The sequence below is a fragment of the Homo sapiens genome, chromosome 2 (assembly GCF_000001405.40).
Source record: "Homo sapiens chromosome 2, GRCh38.p14 Primary Assembly".
In the NCBI taxonomy this organism is placed as follows: Eukaryota; Metazoa; Chordata; class Mammalia; order Primates; family Hominidae; genus Homo; species Homo sapiens.
In genome coordinates this window covers 181,599,150-181,616,728 of record NC_000002.12, presented here as the reverse complement: position 1 = coordinate 181,616,728, position 17,579 = coordinate 181,599,150, and the positions used below count along the sequence as shown (strand labels likewise).

Below are 17,579 nucleotides of genomic sequence, written 5' to 3'. Positions count from 1 at the left end.
CCAGAAAAAAGCTTTAGAAGATTGTCTATGATTGAAAGTCAAACAGCTCTCATTTCTATTATACTGTTCTTTTTCAAAGAATTTACCAATTTTATGTGGTATTTATGATTAAACATACACCATGTAATTTAACATTTTTAATGTCACTTTTACATCATAGGTATTAAAGATTAGCATTTTTATTGTCTGTATTTTAAAGCTCAAAGAATAACATTTAGGCTGGGTGCGGTGGCTCACACCTGTAATCCCAACACTTTGGGAGGCCGAGGCAGGCGGATCACGAGGTCAGGAGATTGAGACCGTCCTGGCTAACACAGTGAAACACCGTCTCTACTAAAAATACAAAAATTAGCCGGGCATGGTGGCGAGCGCCTGTGGTCCTAGCTACTTGGGAGGCTGAAGCAAGAGAATGGTGTGAACCTGGGAGGCGGAGCTTGCAGTGAGCCAAGATCGCACCACTGCACTTCAGCCTGGGTGACAGAGTGAGACTCTGTCTTAAAAAAAAAAAAAAAAAAAAAAAAATTTAGATTTTTGACTGTTTCATTGATTCATCTTAGACTTCACATGAAAATATCTGTATATCCTCAAATGCTTACATTCTTAAGAAGTATCTCAGCCATTTACACATGATAGAAACAACTAAATGGAAAAAAATTGCAGTTGGAAATTCACTATTTTTTATTTGATCCGATAACAATGTGACATTTGCGATTGGACTGTAATTTTCTGTCTTTCTCTCTGAAAATAAGTTCAAAAATTTCCCTCTAATTCTTTTACTAGATAAGAAGCCTACTTCGTTGTAACTCTTGATATATGTATGTATTTAGGAACTTAAGCTTTTCTGCTAATAAATGTTATGTCATAATTCTTGAGGATAGTATTATATTGTGATGGGTTTTCAGTAAACTACAGGAGCAGCCCTATTTGTTTAAACCCTAGTTTAACCTGATTATTAACAATTAAATTGTGTTTTCTTCTAACAATTAAAGTGTGTTTAAATTTATTGGTCCCTTGCTTCACAGATTTATCTCAGTATGTGGTGTATTCAAACAGAATTTTGTATTTTTAATTAGGGGATTAGATAACCAATTCTGAAGAGCCAAAAAAATTGTTAGACATCACATTGCTTAACCATCTAATATACCATAAGTGTGTGTATACACTATGTTGTGGGAGCCATCTATCAGGCAGGCCTGTTTTTCAGGCAGTATTTTAAAAAGTGGACATGTGCAGAAACTGTGAGCACAATTAGCGCCAAGCAGATAAATCCAGCTCTAATCCTGTTTACGGTCTACATCAGACAGATGTGCCAAGATTGATTTAGACAAGCCCGAGGCTTACAGTAATATTTTTAAAAGTGCCATTCGCTGTTCTATTTTTGTTAAACCTTTGCTAAATATTCTTAAGTCTTGTTGGTTTTGCTCTTCTTATTAACCACCGTAAGTAACCTACTTTAAGCAGGTCCCGCTTTGCTCTCATGGTGACAAGGTAACCTGCCAGGAGAGGTTATCTTTATTCCCTGTAATTAAGTTGACTTTTCCCCCCAAAAAAATACAACAATAGGAAGTGGGTGCTGAATTAAATAAATAGCATGATACCCAGTAGATGTATACTTAAGTTCCTTGCAAGAACAGATGGTCCCCAGTATCTCTGTAAGTAATGTGAGAGGACAGTTAATGTTCTGAAACAACTAGCTATAACCAGTATGATACTAATGAACCAGTAGATTTCAAATAATAAACCACATGCCGCCAAGCAAAATTATATGTCATTCATAAGGATTTAATTATCATAACTTGCAAAAAAGTGTCAATAGATGATTTCTATATTTTTATCTACTGATATCAAATATCAATTTATGAATAGAGTTTCACTTCATATTTTTTACCAATAAAGGTATGTTTTAACATTAAGGTAGAATTAAAGTTATATTTAAAATACATGCCCCAAAGTATGTGGTGATTTTTTTTTAACTCCTCTTTTACTATACTGTCTGTATGTATTGGGCTGTATATGGAAATGTAGCTTTTACATACAATTAGGAAAACAATTGCTTTTATTTCTAGCAGAAACTTGTACTATAACAGAAGTGGCTAGCATGGGAATCAGAGTAGTTATCTTGTAGATGACAACTGAAGCAGACATAAAAGATGTAATATTTTTTCAGCACTCAAAAATTTATAAGTAAAATTTTATAAACAAAAAGCAGTATTTTTGTGATTCATATGGAAAATAAAATGAGTCTGAGTCATTCTTAAGGTGATACCGTAAAGGTGTATAGATAAGAAGTCCATTTTTAAATATACCCAAGACAACAGTTTTTTCTCTCAGTATGGTTTGTTTTCCCTTTTTTCTCTTTAATTATGTTTCCCATAAGTATTTGTATATTCTAAGAATGTCCAAAAAATAAATGTTTTGCAGTGGGGGTTGAAAAGAAAGAAAGACCTTTTTAGATTTCAGCTGATCTTATCAGATGATCTCTAGAACCTTGAACCTTCAACCTTCACTGAAGTTAGCTGGAGGGCTTTTCACCTGGAAACCTGAGAAACCTCAGAAGCCTTCTGCTTTAGCTCTCTCTCAAGTCTAGGAAGCCAGTGGCCTGCGACCCCACAGAGCCAGCTGGTCCACTCCTCATATAAGAACTTCGGTAACAATACAAAGACATAGCAAAGCACCATCTAATCTGATAACTCATTAAACAATATTTAGATGGCTCAAGACTTTAAATAAAAACATTTTAAGCTTGTTTATAGAATACTAACAAGTTTTATTCCCAAAGACTATATTCAGAGTGAGAAAACAATTTTCCTTAAAACTAATATTATATACATGTTCATATATGTTAGGAACTAGTTATATGCAAAATCAAGTGACTCTTGTGATTAGAACTGGTCACATTTATTCATGTAGCATAAATGGTTAATATTGCCAAAATGAGTAATAGATCAGATTTTCTATGTGAGATATTGACACCTGAGAGATTTACAGTGTTTCACTGTTGTGAAAAATGGAGTGCTGAAGAACATTTGTCTATTGTTATACATTTGTAAAAGAATTCACAAATTACTAATTTCAAATAAGAACTAAATATTTCTTCTAAGCCTATAGTTTTTCTTTTTAATTTCTTCTAAGCCTACAGTTTTTCTTTTTAATTTCTTCTTGTAACATTGGCAAAAAGACCATTCGTGTGAAAACCTCAGATTTTGATCTGTACACAAATGCAGGAGTAGAGATTGGAAGCTTGAGCTGGAAAAGCAGGAAATACTGCTCAGAGCCTTACAAGGATTTTCAGAATTTTCACTGTTGGGTCCTCCTGGTTGCTGCAGTCTAACCTCGCATCTCCTTGAAGGCAGCCCCAGTTTCTGATGAAATACTCTTCAGTTAATTTATACATATGCTGTCTTGCTGTTTTCCTAAGGACTGCAGGCAGAACTGTGGTTCACCTACTGTTTTAAATTTGGCTAGATTTAAAAACAGATGATCTCACTTATATGTGGAATCCAAAAAAGTCAAACTTATAGAAGCAGAGAGTACAATTGCGGTTGTCAAGAGCTGGGGGAGGGGAAGCAAGGGGATGATGGTTAAAGGTATAAAATTTCAGTTAGACAGAATGAATAAGTTCTGGATCTATTGTATAGCATTGTGACTATGGCTAATAATGTATACTTGAAAATTGCTAATACCTGAAAATCACTAAGAGACTACGTCTTAAATGTTCTTACAACACACCAAAAAAAGGTGTGAGGTAATGAATATGTTACTTAGCTTGATTTTAATCATTTCACATTGTAAACGTGTATGGTACTGATCTTGTACCTCATTTCATTTTCCATATGAATCAGAAAAATACTGCTTTTTCTTTATAATATCTTATACAGCATAGATACAATTTTTAGTGGTCAATTATATTGTAATATATACATAAATATATATGATTTTCATTGGTCAATTATACTGTAATAAAACAGCAAAAAATAAAGTTGTAATTAAAAAATAATTTGGAAGAAAAAATTAGCAAGTGGTTGGAGATTGAGGAAGATGGGACCAATAAGTCCTCCAAGGAGAGTCATACATTAGTTTTTTTTAAAAGTCCATTATTAATCTTATAATATTTAATATGTTTAATTTCTTGACACTTATTAATCCAATTAAGTATGAGAACACTGTGGATAAATCTAAAAACCTTAAAGTTGAGTAAAATAAACCAGATACAAAGAAGCACATACTTTATGGTTACATTTATATGAAGTTCTAGAAAAGGCAAAACTTAGCTATAGTAAAAAAATCATGGTCCTGAGGGAATAACTAGAGAGTGGTATGAGGGAGCTTTCTATAATAGTGGGAAAATTCTGTATCTTTATTGGGATAGTGGTTATGTGAGTGCATATACTTAAAAAAACTCATGGAATTATGCCCTTACAAATCTGTAATTTTTGTTGGTAATTTATACCTTAATAAAAAACAAAACAGATGACAGGGTTAGTGATTGTTTCCTTGAAGAAGGTCTTTACATGGGTCTGTTGTTAACGAGTTGTAGTAAAAATCATCCAAAATGCTTGGATTCAAATCTTAGATCTGTTCCTACCAGATGTGTGACCACAGACAAGTTACTTACATTCCGTCTTCAGTTTCTTCTCTTTTAGGAAAAAGCATCTAGTTTTTGTTGTAGAGATTAAATTAGATAATACAAATGAAGTACAGAGAACAGCGTTTGGTGTGTAACACATGTTCATTATTAGCTACCCTTATTTTTTAGAGAATGGAAATTTTTAAATTTAAACTAATCAAACTATTTTAGGATAAGCAAGTGAAACAATCTTTTTTTCAATCGATCACAGAAATATTTTCACTGAAGACAAATTAGACATTTATATAAGCAAACTACAGTGTCATTACCATTCAAATTTTCATATGCATATTCATGCTTACATGCATATGAAAGCATTACACATATGTATTCTATAAATATATACAAAACAGTAATGGAAATGTGCTGTACTATTTTGAACATCTTTCTAGTCAGCCCGGCATTTTATTTACTTTTGAGACAGGGTCTCACTCTGTTGCCCAGGCTTGAGTGCAGTAGTGTGATCTCAGCTCACTGGAGGCTGGAGGTCCTGGGCTAAAGGAATCCTCCTACCTCAGCCTCCTGAGTAGCTGGGACCACAGGAAAGCACCACCATGCCCAGCTTATTTGGTTTATTTTGTTTGTTTGTTTATTTTTTATTTTTTTGTAGAGATGAGGTCTCACTATGTTGCCCAGGCTGGTCTCAAACTCCTGGGCTCAAGTTATCCTCCTGCCTCAGCCTCCCAAAACACTGCAATCACAGGCATTAGCCACTACACTGACCTCTACATTTTAATAGCTGAGTAGCCTTCTGTTATATGAATATACTTTTTTTTAACAAAACCAATACTCCATTATTGTACATTTAGGTTGTTTCCAAGTTTCACTCAAATAATGCTTGGGTAAGTAAGTATTTTTATTTATTATTATTATTTTTTTGAGATGGAGTTTCACTCTGTTGCCCAGGCTGAAGTGCAATGGTGTGATCTTGGCTCACTGCAACCTCCGCCTCCTGGGTTCAAGCGATTCTCCTGCCTCCACCTCCTGAGTAGCTGGGGTTACAGGTGCACACCATCATGCCTGGCTCATTTTTGTATTTTTAGTAGAGATGGGATTTCAGCATGTTGGTCAGGCTGGTCTCAAACTCCTGACCCTGTGATCCGCCCACCTCAGCCTCCCAAAGTGCTGGGATTACAGGCCGTGAGCCACCACGTCTGGCCTGGATAAGTATTATTTTAGCTAAATTGTGCATATTTATTCCCTTAGAGTAAATTCCTGGAAGTAAATTGCTGGATCAAAACCAGGTATATTTTAAAGAATTTTCCTTTTCTACATTAAAAATAATTATAATTCTGATTACAAGAAAGGAAAATTATGGAGCTTCATAAGAAAAAATTAGTCTCATATTTCATACCTCATATTGCATATTTAATAGGTAACCAGTGTTAAATTTGTTGTGTGTTTTCCACTGGGATTTCTTTTTATCTCCTTTAATAAAAGCAGGATCAGATCCCTCAGATTACTTTGTAACTTGCTTTTATTCTACTTTTTCATACCTCTTAGCATGAATGTCTTTCCAGACCAGAATACAGAGATTTCACTTACTCATTTATGAGCTGCAGAAGATGACTATGATTTATTCAACCATTCTCCTATTGAAGAGCATGAATATTGCTTCAGATACTTTTGTTATTATAAATATTAGTGCAATTAACATTTTAAAGTCTTTTGATACATATTCCCAACTTGTTCTCCAGCAATTACCATTTTTGCATTCCCACCAGCACTGGGGCTACTTCCCTTTAGTTGCACCATCATTTAGCATTATTTTTGATCTTGTGCCAATCTAAAAGGCAAAAAGTGGTATCTTGTTGTTTTAATTTGCATTTCTTTGATTACTAATTAGATTGAACTTTTTCATTTGTTCATTGGTCAATTTGCATTTCTTCTTTTGTGAAATGCCTGCTTGGGTCTTTTATGTACTTTACCATTAAAGTGTTTTTCTTGATTAAATAGATTATGTAACTGTCATATGTTGCAAATATTTCTGTCCATTTGGCCTTTGCTTATGACTTTTTATGAGTCTTTAGGACTTTTGAGGTCTTTATTAGGTATTCAATAATTTTAATGTTAAATATATTGATGTCTGTCTTCCTTTGTGTCTTACGGCTTTTCTATTTAAGGTTACGTAAATTTCTAATATACAAATATTGGTGTATATTATGAAATAGGGCCCTATTTTTCTTTACAAAAGATTAGTCAGTTCTAAATCATCCTTTGCTATTTCTAGCGGCGCTTAGATGCCACCATTATCACATCAGTGAATTTTTAAATGTGTAATTGTTTCCTGATCTATTCATTTCTCTATTCCTAGATACTTCTATTGTAATAGCTTTACCAAATATATCTGATAGGGTGTGTACTCCCCCTCATTACTTCATTTATTTATTTATTTATTTAGAGACAGAGTTTCAGTCACCCAGGCTGGAGTGCAGTGGCATGAACTTGGCTCACTGCAACCTCCGCCTCCTGGGTTCAAGGGATTCTCCTGCCTCAACCTCTTGAGTAGCTGGGATTACAGGTGTGTGCCACTACACCTGGCAAATTTTTTTTTTTTTTTTTTTTTTTAGTAGAGACAGGGTTTCACCATGGTGGCCAGGCTGGTCTCGAACTTCTGATCTCAGGTGATCTGCCCTTCTCGGCCTCCCAAAGTGCTGGGATTACAGGTGTGAGCCACTGTGCCTGGCCCCCTCATTGCTTTTAAAACATTTTCTTACTGTAATATATTTATTCCAAGAGAATTTTCAAATATTTTATGAGATTCCTTGTCCATTCCTTACATCAAAAAATACCACGGAGATTTTGATTGAAGTTCTATTATAAGTAGTTACTTGGGGTGGGGGGAGGGGGGAGGGATAGCATTGGGAGATATACCTAATGCTAGATGACGAGTTAGTGGGTGCAGCACACCAGCGTGGCACATGTATACATATGTAACTCAGCTGCACAATGTGCACATGTACCCTGAAACTTAAAGTATAATAATAAAAGAAAATAAAGAGAATACTGGCATGGAAAATATGTAATCTTGGAACTTGTTGTATCTCCACTTATTCAATCCTTTGTCTCTCAGTAGATTTTGAATGGCTCTTTATCCCACACGAGTCTAGAATCATTTTGCTAAGTTTATTCCTAGATATAATATGCTAATTGATATGGGAATTTTTTTTATCTCCATTATACCTTCTTCTTGGGTGTAGACATATTTGTAGCCAGCTTCCTCACTGCATATTTTTTATTAGGCCTAATGGCATTAAGTTTATTATTTTGGATTTTACAAAAAAAATTATGATAACATCTTTAAATAGTTAGTTTCAACTCCTCCTTTCCCCTTAAATCCATCAATTACTGTCTTTTATTTCACTTTCCTTATGTACTGACTAGAATGCCTAGAATAATTGAATGCTATGAGTAATAATAGGTATTCTTGCCCTGTTTTTGGAAATCCTTCTGGATTTCAGTAAGTGTGATGTTGGCTTTTGGTTTAGTATCTTTAAATTTGCAATTTACAAGATATTTTACATTGGAATAGTCATTGAGTTGTTAAGTAAAGCACAAACATGTTAAATTCAGACTGAAGTACAGGACTTCAATGAAAAGTTAAAAGAGTTTATTTCATCACTTTCATTTTTTCTTTCCCTCAGTGGCTGTTTGTCCCCTCCCCCCACCCCGCTCCATCCCCCAGCTTCCTTCCTTTGTGCTCTTATTGTTCTAGGTTTGACTACATAAAAAGAGACTCTCAATTTATATGTGATACAAGACCATAACTAATATTATAAAATTAGTCTAGAAGAAGTTATTTGCAACCTATATAATAAGGGACTAATTTCAAGATTATTTGAAGGACTTTAAAGATTGGTAAGAAAAAAATAGACAACCGTTTAGAATAAGGCAAAGCATGTGTAGAGGCAACTCTTAAAAAAAAAAAAGTGAGCTGGGTGTGATGATGCACACCTGTGGTCCCAGTTACTAGGGAGGCTGAGGCAGGAGGATCACTTGAGCCCAGGAGTTCAGGGCTGTAGTGCACCACAGTCACACCTGTGAATAACCACTCCATTCTAGACTGGGCAAACATAAGAAGACTCTGTGTCTTAAAGAAAAAGAAATGAAAAGATATTCAGTTTCATTAATTGTTTGACTAGCTGATTTTTGGAAAATACCCACAAATATAACCAAGCCTACAAGTTATTTTAAGGTGGGTAAGAGATACATCTTATCTATATGCATTCACCTATGTGAAGCGGACACCCAGTAACACCCCCGTGTGGAAGACAAGCTTCCTTAAACTTCACAGGACAGTATTTCCCATGTAGTCCATCATAGGGTGAGGATTTTTCAGGACCTTTGGTAAGCCTGCTTGCTTTCATTCTTGAGGGTAGAGGAAGGGTGCAAGACTTCCCTGGTCTCTCCCAAGCATTTTGGGGACCCTGGCCATAAGCCTACTTGCTCAACAGGTGCAAATGACTGGTAATATGCTGACCAGATGCAAGTGTACCACCAATGATTTGCTGTGACTGAGTTTGGTTTCCTTTGCATATACTATCCAGCTTTTTGTTTCTAATATATTCTTCCTTAAGGGAACCAGGACTTCTTGGGGAATCCAGATGAGCTTGAAACACTGTTTTTATAAGAGAAGGGCTGTTTTCAAAAACATCTATAGTTCGTAACAAAGGAGTTAGATTGAAGGGACTCTCACTGTTCAGTCTGTGACAAGCATGAGTGTTAAAATGGAGACAAGAATTTTAGTTAATTGTAATGTTGAATTTGTAAAAGGCTATAACTTCATAATATGATCAAGGGGAACAAGCAATCTAAAATGTGTTAAAGTAGCATTTTCAAAGTGCGGTCCAGGGACTCTCAGGGTTGGTGAGGTCACAACTGTTTTTATAATATTGCTAAGAATGTATATCACTCTCCTTCTCTCCAAGGATACGGTGGAGTTTTCCAGAAGCTATGGGATATGTGGCGATAGCCTTGCCCTAATGGAGTGTGTGCTTTGTGCTTTGCATTTTTGTCCTTTAAAAATGCTTGGTTTTAATTTTGAATACAATAATTATAGATAGATATAACCTACATAAACCAAAGTTATTTGCGGCCCTCAGTCTTTAAGGGTGCACAGTGGGGCCTGAGACTAAAGAGTTTGGGAATTGATGTTCTAGAGAAAAGTCAGTCTTACTGATGAGGGTTAATCAATTAGTATTTACTGACCGGGACAGGACAAACCATTCATTTTATAAAGACACACAGAGCATTTCACTAAAATACTTTTACTCTGATTAAGTGGTGATTTTAGTAATAGTAATGATTGTTTGATTTTCTGATACCTGAAGGAAAAAGAGCCTGTTGAATTGATACTTTGAGGGTGTTGAGTTTTAGGTCACTGGGTGACTGTAGAAATGGACCAGGAGAAGAACTGAAACTTGAGCCTTCTAAGAAATAGAAGACCAAAAAATGTTTAGTGTTACCCTATCCCATGACCACAATAATTGAGAAAAAGGCCTTTCCGTTCCCTCTTCCCTACCCTCCCCCTTCTCCCCTACCCTCTCCTCCCCCCTCCCCTCCCCCTCCTCTCCCCTACCCTCTCCTCCCCCCTCCCCTCCCCCTCGTCTCCCCTACCCTCTCCTCTCCCCTACCCTCCCCTCCCCCTCCTCTCCCCTCCCCTCTCCTCCCCCCTCCCCTCCCCCTCCTCTCCCCTCCCCTCCCCCTCCTCTCCCCTCCCCTCCCCCTCCTCTCCCTCCCCCTCTTCTCCCTCCCCCTCCTCTCCCTAACCCCTCCCAACCTTTCCCCTCCTTCTCTGTCCCCCTCCCCCTCCCTCCCTGTCTTCCTCCCACCCCCCACTCCCTGTCTTCCTCCTTGTCTTCCATCCTCCCTTCCTTCCTTTCCTTCCTGTCTTTCTTTTCCTTTCTTTCCTTTTTCTTCTTTCCTTCCTGTCTTCCCTCCTCTCCGTCTGTCTCCTTCTCCTTGTCCCCTTCTCTCTGTCTTGCCTTTCCTTTCCTTCTGTCTTTTTCTTTCTTTCTCTTTCTTTTTCACTCTTCCTTTTTTTAATTTCCCTTTTACTTGCCTTCTCTCTTTCATTCCTTCCATGCTTTCTTTTTTTTAGTGGTATGTATACTTTGTGAGCAATCAGACTATAGCTTGCAGAATAGTTGGGAGAGGCCAAAAATGCCCCTGAGAATGCAAGCAAGGAACTTCTTAGTGAGCATATGAACATCCTCACTCCAATCGGAGGATAACATTGTTCATACTTCAAGGACTAAAAAGCTGAGAGAGGGTCTCTGCTTTCTGTTACTTTTAGCACTCGAGTCATTTCTGCATGTATTTCTACTGATTACTTTTTCTCCTATTTTGGTTCATATGTTTTCTGCTTCTTTGCTTGTCTAGTGATTTTGGATTAGATGAGTGACATTGTGAATTTTACTGTGCAGGATGGCTGAATTTTTTTTCTATTCCTGTAAATATTTTTTTGGCATTGTTCTAGGATGTAGTTAAGTTACCTGGAAAAAGTGACATCCTTTTGAGAGGCTTGCTTTTAAGTTTTGTTAGGTGGAATCACAGCAGTCTTTAGCCAGCTCACTAAGGACCAATACTCTTCTAAATACTTACCATAATGTCATATGAATTTCCATGTTTTTCCACTTCAGCTGGTAGGAACACCTGTGTCATCTCTAAGCATTGTACTGTTAATTCTTCTAGTAGTTCTTATCTGGCTTTGTACATCTGCTGATCAATACTTTCAGCTAAAGTCTCAAGGGGACCTCTGCAAATCTACAGTGTTCACTGTTCAGCTTTCTCTTCTGTAGTAAATTGCACAGTGAACTCTAGTCCCCTTAGCCTTCCTGAACCCCCAGTTCTCCTTAACTCAGGGAGATCACCAGGCCCCACCAGGATTCCTGTATCTGCCCTGTGACCTGGAGATTCTCTGCAGGCAATAGGTTGGGGCGGTCGTAGGGTCCACTTTGTTTTCCTCCTCTTCGGCTTCACTGTCCTGTGTTACCTGATGTCCAATGTCTGAAAACTACTGTTTCACGTATCTTGTGTGCTTTTGTAGTTTTAGGTGAAAGGTAAAACTAGTTTCTTATTATTCCACATTGGCCAAAGCAGAAGTTTTGGAAGTCTTTTTTTAAGGTCTAAAACACTTCTACTTTGAGAGTCAATTGAAATGGTCTTTTCCACAATAATTATTTTCTGACCTATGGTTTAAAGATAAGTCATGAAAATTTTATGCCACTATTTTTTTTTAAGTCTGATTATGGTTAAATTCAGGGGGCTATTTCCTCCTAGATTGACAGAGTTTATAATGTTTCCTACTCACAATAATTGTACTTCTGCTTCCTCTTTGCATGTGTTACTTTAATGGGAATGTATATTTCCTTTTCGTTAAGGCTGCCTTCAACAATTTGTCATAAAGTCACTTCTGTTAGTGAATTCTATTTTTTCTGTTACTTTACTCTATCCTTAGTACCAAAGAGCTCCTTATGTGACACCAATTTATTACTAAAATGTCGCTTTGTTTATGTTCTTGGAATTCTTCATACATTGACTATCCTCAGATGTCGAATGTTGTAGGCCTGTGTGGCAGGGACTCTCTTCCATTTATTCTATTTTTAATCTAATTCTTGACAAAATAAACCCAATTTTTCTTTTCTTCCCCTTTCCATCTCACGTAGGGACTGGCATAAAGGGCAATCCATAAAATTACAAATGATGAATTTTTTTGGTTTTAACTATTATTCATACATTTAAGATATGGTCACAATTTTTATTTCTTACTAGTAATTCATTTTATTTTTTAACTTTTAGGTTCTGGGGTACACGTGCAGGTTTGTTATATAGGTACATTTGTGTCATGGGGGTTTGTTGTACAGATTATTTCATCACCCAGGTATTAAGCCCAGTACCCATTAGTTATTTTTCTTGATCCTCTCCCTTTGCTCACTTTCTACCCTCTGGTAAGCCCCAGTGTCTGTTGTTCCTCTCTATGAAACACAATGGTTTTAATTGGAAAATTTATTTTTTTTTCAGGTGATTCTAAGTATGACTTGCTATGTAAAGAAGAATTTATTGAACTCAAAGACATATTCTCTGTGAAACTGAAACGGCGTTGTTCTGTTAAACAGCAGAGAAGTGGTACTTTATTAGGTATCACACTCTTCATCTGCTTGAAAAAGGAACAAAATAAACTAAAGAATTCTACACTTGATCTTATTAATTTAAGTGAAGACCACTGTGACATATGGTTTAGACAGTTCAAGAAAATATTGGCAGGTAAGTACTCCTCATGGGAAATTTTAATCAGCCCAGTTTCCTTGATATACATGATTAATCTAGACATGTTTTGAGTAAAAACAACTTTAGTGATGTTGAGATAGTTTCCTTCTGTTCCTAGTTTTTGTCGTGAGAAAGTGTTGAAATTTGCTAAATACTTTTTCTACATTAATTGAGATAATCATATTTTTCCCTACATCCTGTTAATGTGGTATCTTATATTAATTGATTTTCATATGTTTAACATCCTTGCATTCCAGGAATAACTCCCCAATGGCCATGGTGTATAATCTTTTAAAGATGCTATTGAATTTGGTTTGTTAATATTTTGTTGAGTATGTTTGCATCAATATTCATAAAACATATTGTTCTGTAGTTTTTCTGTACTGTTTGTCTGACTTTGGCATCAGGGTAATACTGGCCTCATAGAATGAGTTAGGAAGTAACTCTTGAATGACTATTTTCATGAAGAAGCTTCAATAATCTGAAATAAAATACTTAAATAATTTAGTTCACCTGAGAGTTGTTTTTAGAAGCGTATTTATTTTTCTATTAATGTCTTTTTTGAACTATATAAGAATGTATTCTCCTTCCACTCACACATTGATGGCAAGTGTGTATTTGTACTCTGTGGCCTGAAAATAAGATTTTTTTGAATAATCTTAAGAGGCCATGCTTTATACTCTGGTAATTGAGAATTACCTATTTCACAGTAGCTTTTTCTAAAGGTTAATTTCCAGAGAAAAGAGAACATGTTTATTAGGATATATCTCTTAATGAATTCAGTGTATCTGAAATTTCTAAATGACATTTTCATATTTTGCATACTAAATAAAATTCATAAGTACAAATATAATGCAATTCATAAGTACAAATATAATGCAATTTGGATTTCTAGAAGTTATCTAGTTAAAATATGATCTTAGGATTTATTTTTTTTGTCTTAGATTTATGAATCTTGCTTGTTTTTCTGTTAATTCATTTCTTCTTGTTTGCTGCATCAGTCAGATCAGAGTAGAGGCAGCTTGTATAGTTGATGGCACAGTTTAGGGTTAGATGGCACAGGATAGAAATGGGTGCTAGACAAAGAGCAGTCACAGAGGCATGTTAGAAATTTCCAGTTCCAGCATCATTGATGAAGAAAACCATGAGGACCCAAGTTGATCAAAGGCAGCCAGCCAATAAAGCTATGCTCATGCGAGATGAGCTGAAGTGACATTACATTAAAATTGGAAGACCCTCTTACTAAGTGGCTCCATGCTTCCCTGCTAGCCCCTTTGGGACTTCCAAGAAGACTTGGTTATTTCAAGAAGACAAGAACCCACAGAGGCTGTAGTTTAGTTTATCTCTCTGGAAACATAGAGAATATGTATAATTAAATAAAAGCACTTTAATAGTGAATCCTTTACAGTGTTATTTGAAATTTATGTCAAGTGATTTAAAAAGTAAAAATGAAAATTAATAATTTCAGTGGAAGTAAATTGATTAACATGACCAGGAATACATAAAACTTGCATGGTCTTGTCTATAAAATAAGGATATGTCATTTAATTAGGAGAGTCAAAGCTCATTCTTGCGCTTAAGGTCTGAGGAACTCTTCTCCCATGGGGCTTATGAAGGGCTACACTGAGGCAACTTCCTCAATATATCTCAGCCATAAAACCAAGAGAAAGTAAGAAGCAGAGGACATCACAACAAAGCTCAATTCAGTAAAAGCAATTTTATAGGAGTAGAGGGACTTGTCAAAAACAAAAACAACAACAAAAAACAATGTCCAAATATTTATTCAGCTTAATGAGTGATGTTTTTGTTTGATCTAGGGTTAAAATCTAGACAAATTACAGAGATGAATAAACTACATATCCTTTAGTCTACCATCCTCTGAAAATGTTACTTTTTGAAACTTTGATTTTGATAAGAGCTGGAGGCACTCAGGGAGTCATTCTCTGGCATGGTCTTTGAGTACAGAGTGATTTTGCTGATTAAAAGCAAATAGATTGACTTTTAAAATCAACTCATACAAACAAACTGTTAAAATCCTCTAATGAGAGTGAAGAAACCTAACCAAGACTGACTGATACATTACTGCTCCATCTCTGCACCAAAGTGGACTCAGGGAGGCCTGTAGGAGATGCCAACTCCTTATCCTACTCCCCACAAAGACAGTTCTTGGCTATCTTCATCAGACACAAATGAATGGTTGAGGCTCCAAAGCTCTCTACCAATTCTTGTGTTACACTGGCACTTTTAAAAAATTTTGTTTATTTTTTATTTTTAAATGGAGTCTCACTCTGTCACCCTGGCTGGAGTACAGTGGCGTGATCTTGGCTCACTGCACCCTTTGCCTCCCGGGTTTGAGCAATTCTCCCTGCCTCAGCCTCCCGAGTAGCTGGGATTACAGGCACCCGCCACTACGCCTGGCTAATTTTTGTATTACTTAGTAGAGATGGGGTTTCGCCATGTTGGCCAGGCTGGTCTTGAACTCCTGAGCTCAGGCAATCTGCCCACCTTGGCCTCCCAAAGTGCTGGGATTACAGGTGTTAGCCACCGCACCTGGCTGGCACTTCTCTTAAAACTAATATCTCAAGAAGTTTTTTCTTTAAGAATCTTCTTTCAATTGCAGGTCCATGTAGTTCTGGTATTCATTAAAGTGCCTATCCCAGGGGTTTTGGTATGTTGTGTTTCAATTTTCATGTTTCAATTTTTTTGATTTATGCATTAATTTTGTTTTTTCAGAATTCAGGTGCAGGTTGTTTAGTTTCCATGTATTTGTGTCGTTTTGAGAATTCCTCTTGTTCTTCATTTCTAATTTTATTTCATTGTGACCTCAGAAGACACTTGCATTGATTTTGATTTTTTTTATCTTATTGAGATGTGACTTACGACTATGTGGTCAATTTTAGAGAATGTTCCATGTACAGATGTGAAAAATGTATATTTTGTGTTGTTGGGTGGAATATTCTGCAGATGTCTGTCAGGTCCATTTGGTCAAGAGTCTGATTTAAGTCCAGTGTATACCTTTGTTAGTTTTCTGCCATGGTGATCTGTCTGGTGCTGTGAGTGGGGTGTTGAAGTCCCCCACTATTATTGTATAGCTTTTTTTCCCCATAGGTCTAGTAGTATTTGTTTTATGAACCTGGGTGCTCCAACATTGAGTGCATATTTATTTAGGATAGTTAAATCTTCTGGTTGAATTGAACCCTTTATATAATGCCCTCCTTTGTCTCTTTTTGATGTTGTTGGTTTAATGTCTGTTTCTTCTCATACAAGTATAGCAACATCTGTTCTTTTTTAATTTTCTATTTGCATGCTAGATCTTTCTCCATCCCTTCACTTTGAGCCCATGGTTGTCATTACATGTGAGATGGGTCTCTTGAATTCAGCAGAAGGTTAGGTCATTTAAAAAATCTAATTTGCCACTTTATGTCCTTTAAGTGGAGCATTTAGGCCATTTATGTTCTAAGTTAATATTGATATTTGAGGTTTTGTTCCTATACATTTGATATTTGTGTATTGTTAAGTAGTTGCTTTCTAGTTTGAATTGTGTAATTGCTCTATAAGATCTCTGAGCCTTGTACTTTTGTGTGCTTATATGGTAGCAAGTATTGTTCTTTTGTTTCCATGTTTAGAACTCCTTGGAGTATTTCTTGTATGGCAGGTGTGGTGGTAACAAATTCCCTTAGTGTTTTCTTGCCTGGGAAAGACTTTATTTCTCCTTCATTTATGAAGCTTAATTTGGCAGATTATGAAATTCTTGGCTGGCATTTTCTTTTTTCTTTAAGGAGGCTAAAAGTAGGCCCCTGATCTCTTCTTGCTTGTAAGGTTTCTGCTGAGAAGTCCTCTATTAGTCTGATTGGATTTCCTTTATAGGTAATTTGGCCCTTTTCTCTAGATGCCTTTCATATTTTTTCTTTGGTGTTGACCTTGCATAGTCTGATGGACTATATTCCTTGGGGATGGTCATCTTGTATCTTGCAGGTGTTTTCTGAATTTCTTGTATCTGGATGTTAACCTCTCTGGCAAGATTAGGGAAATTTTCCTGAATTATTGCCTCAAATATGTTTTCCAATTTGCTTACTTCTTCCTCTTCTCCATCAAGAATGCCAGTAAGTCATAGGTTTGGTTGCTTTACATAATCCCATATTTATCAAAGGCTTTGTTCATTTTTCAGATTCTTTATGTTTGTCTAACTGGGTTAATTTGAAAAGGTGGTCTTCAAGCTCTGAAATCTTGTCTTCTGCTTGGTGTAGTCTGTTGTTAAAACTTCCAAGTGTTGTTTTGTTTTGTTTTGTTTTGTTTTGAGATGGAGTCTCACTCTGTTGCCTAGGCTGGAGTGCAGTGGCATGATCTTGACTCACTGCAACCTCTGCCTCCTGGGTTCAAGCGATTCTCCTGCCTCACCTTCTGGAGTAGCTGGGATTACGGGCGAGTGCCACCACCCCCGACTAATTTTTGTATTTTTTAGTAGAGACAAGGTTTTGCCATGTTGGCTGAGCTGGTCTCGAACTCCTGAACTCAGGTGATTTACCCATCTTGGCCTCCCAAAGTGCTGTGATTACAGGTGTGAGCCACCATGCCTGGCCTGCTTCCAAGTGTATTTTGATGTTCCCTTTAGTGAATTTTTCAATTCCAAAAGTTCTATTTGGTTTTATCTTAATATGGCTATCTCATGTTTCATATCCTGCAT

At 36.4% G+C, this 17,579-nt stretch overlaps 1 protein-coding gene across 7 annotated transcripts in view; it reads left to right on the top strand.

Annotated features, from left to right (window-relative positions):
* The window catches only part of CERKL (CERK like autophagy regulator), a 120,434-nt gene that overhangs the window by 40,377 nt on the left and 62,478 nt on the right, over window positions 1-17,579 (top strand). For all 7 annotated transcript variants that reach the window (NR_027689.2, NR_027690.2, NM_001030312.3 and 4 more), the window contains exon 2: window positions 12,650-12,892. Coding sequence is in view for 5 of the 7 variants with exons in the window: in NM_001030312.3 (NP_001025483.1) it covers window positions 12,650-12,892 (243 nt within the window). In the remaining 2 variants the exon portion in view is untranslated. The remainder of the gene's footprint in view (window positions 1-12,649; window positions 12,893-17,579) is intronic.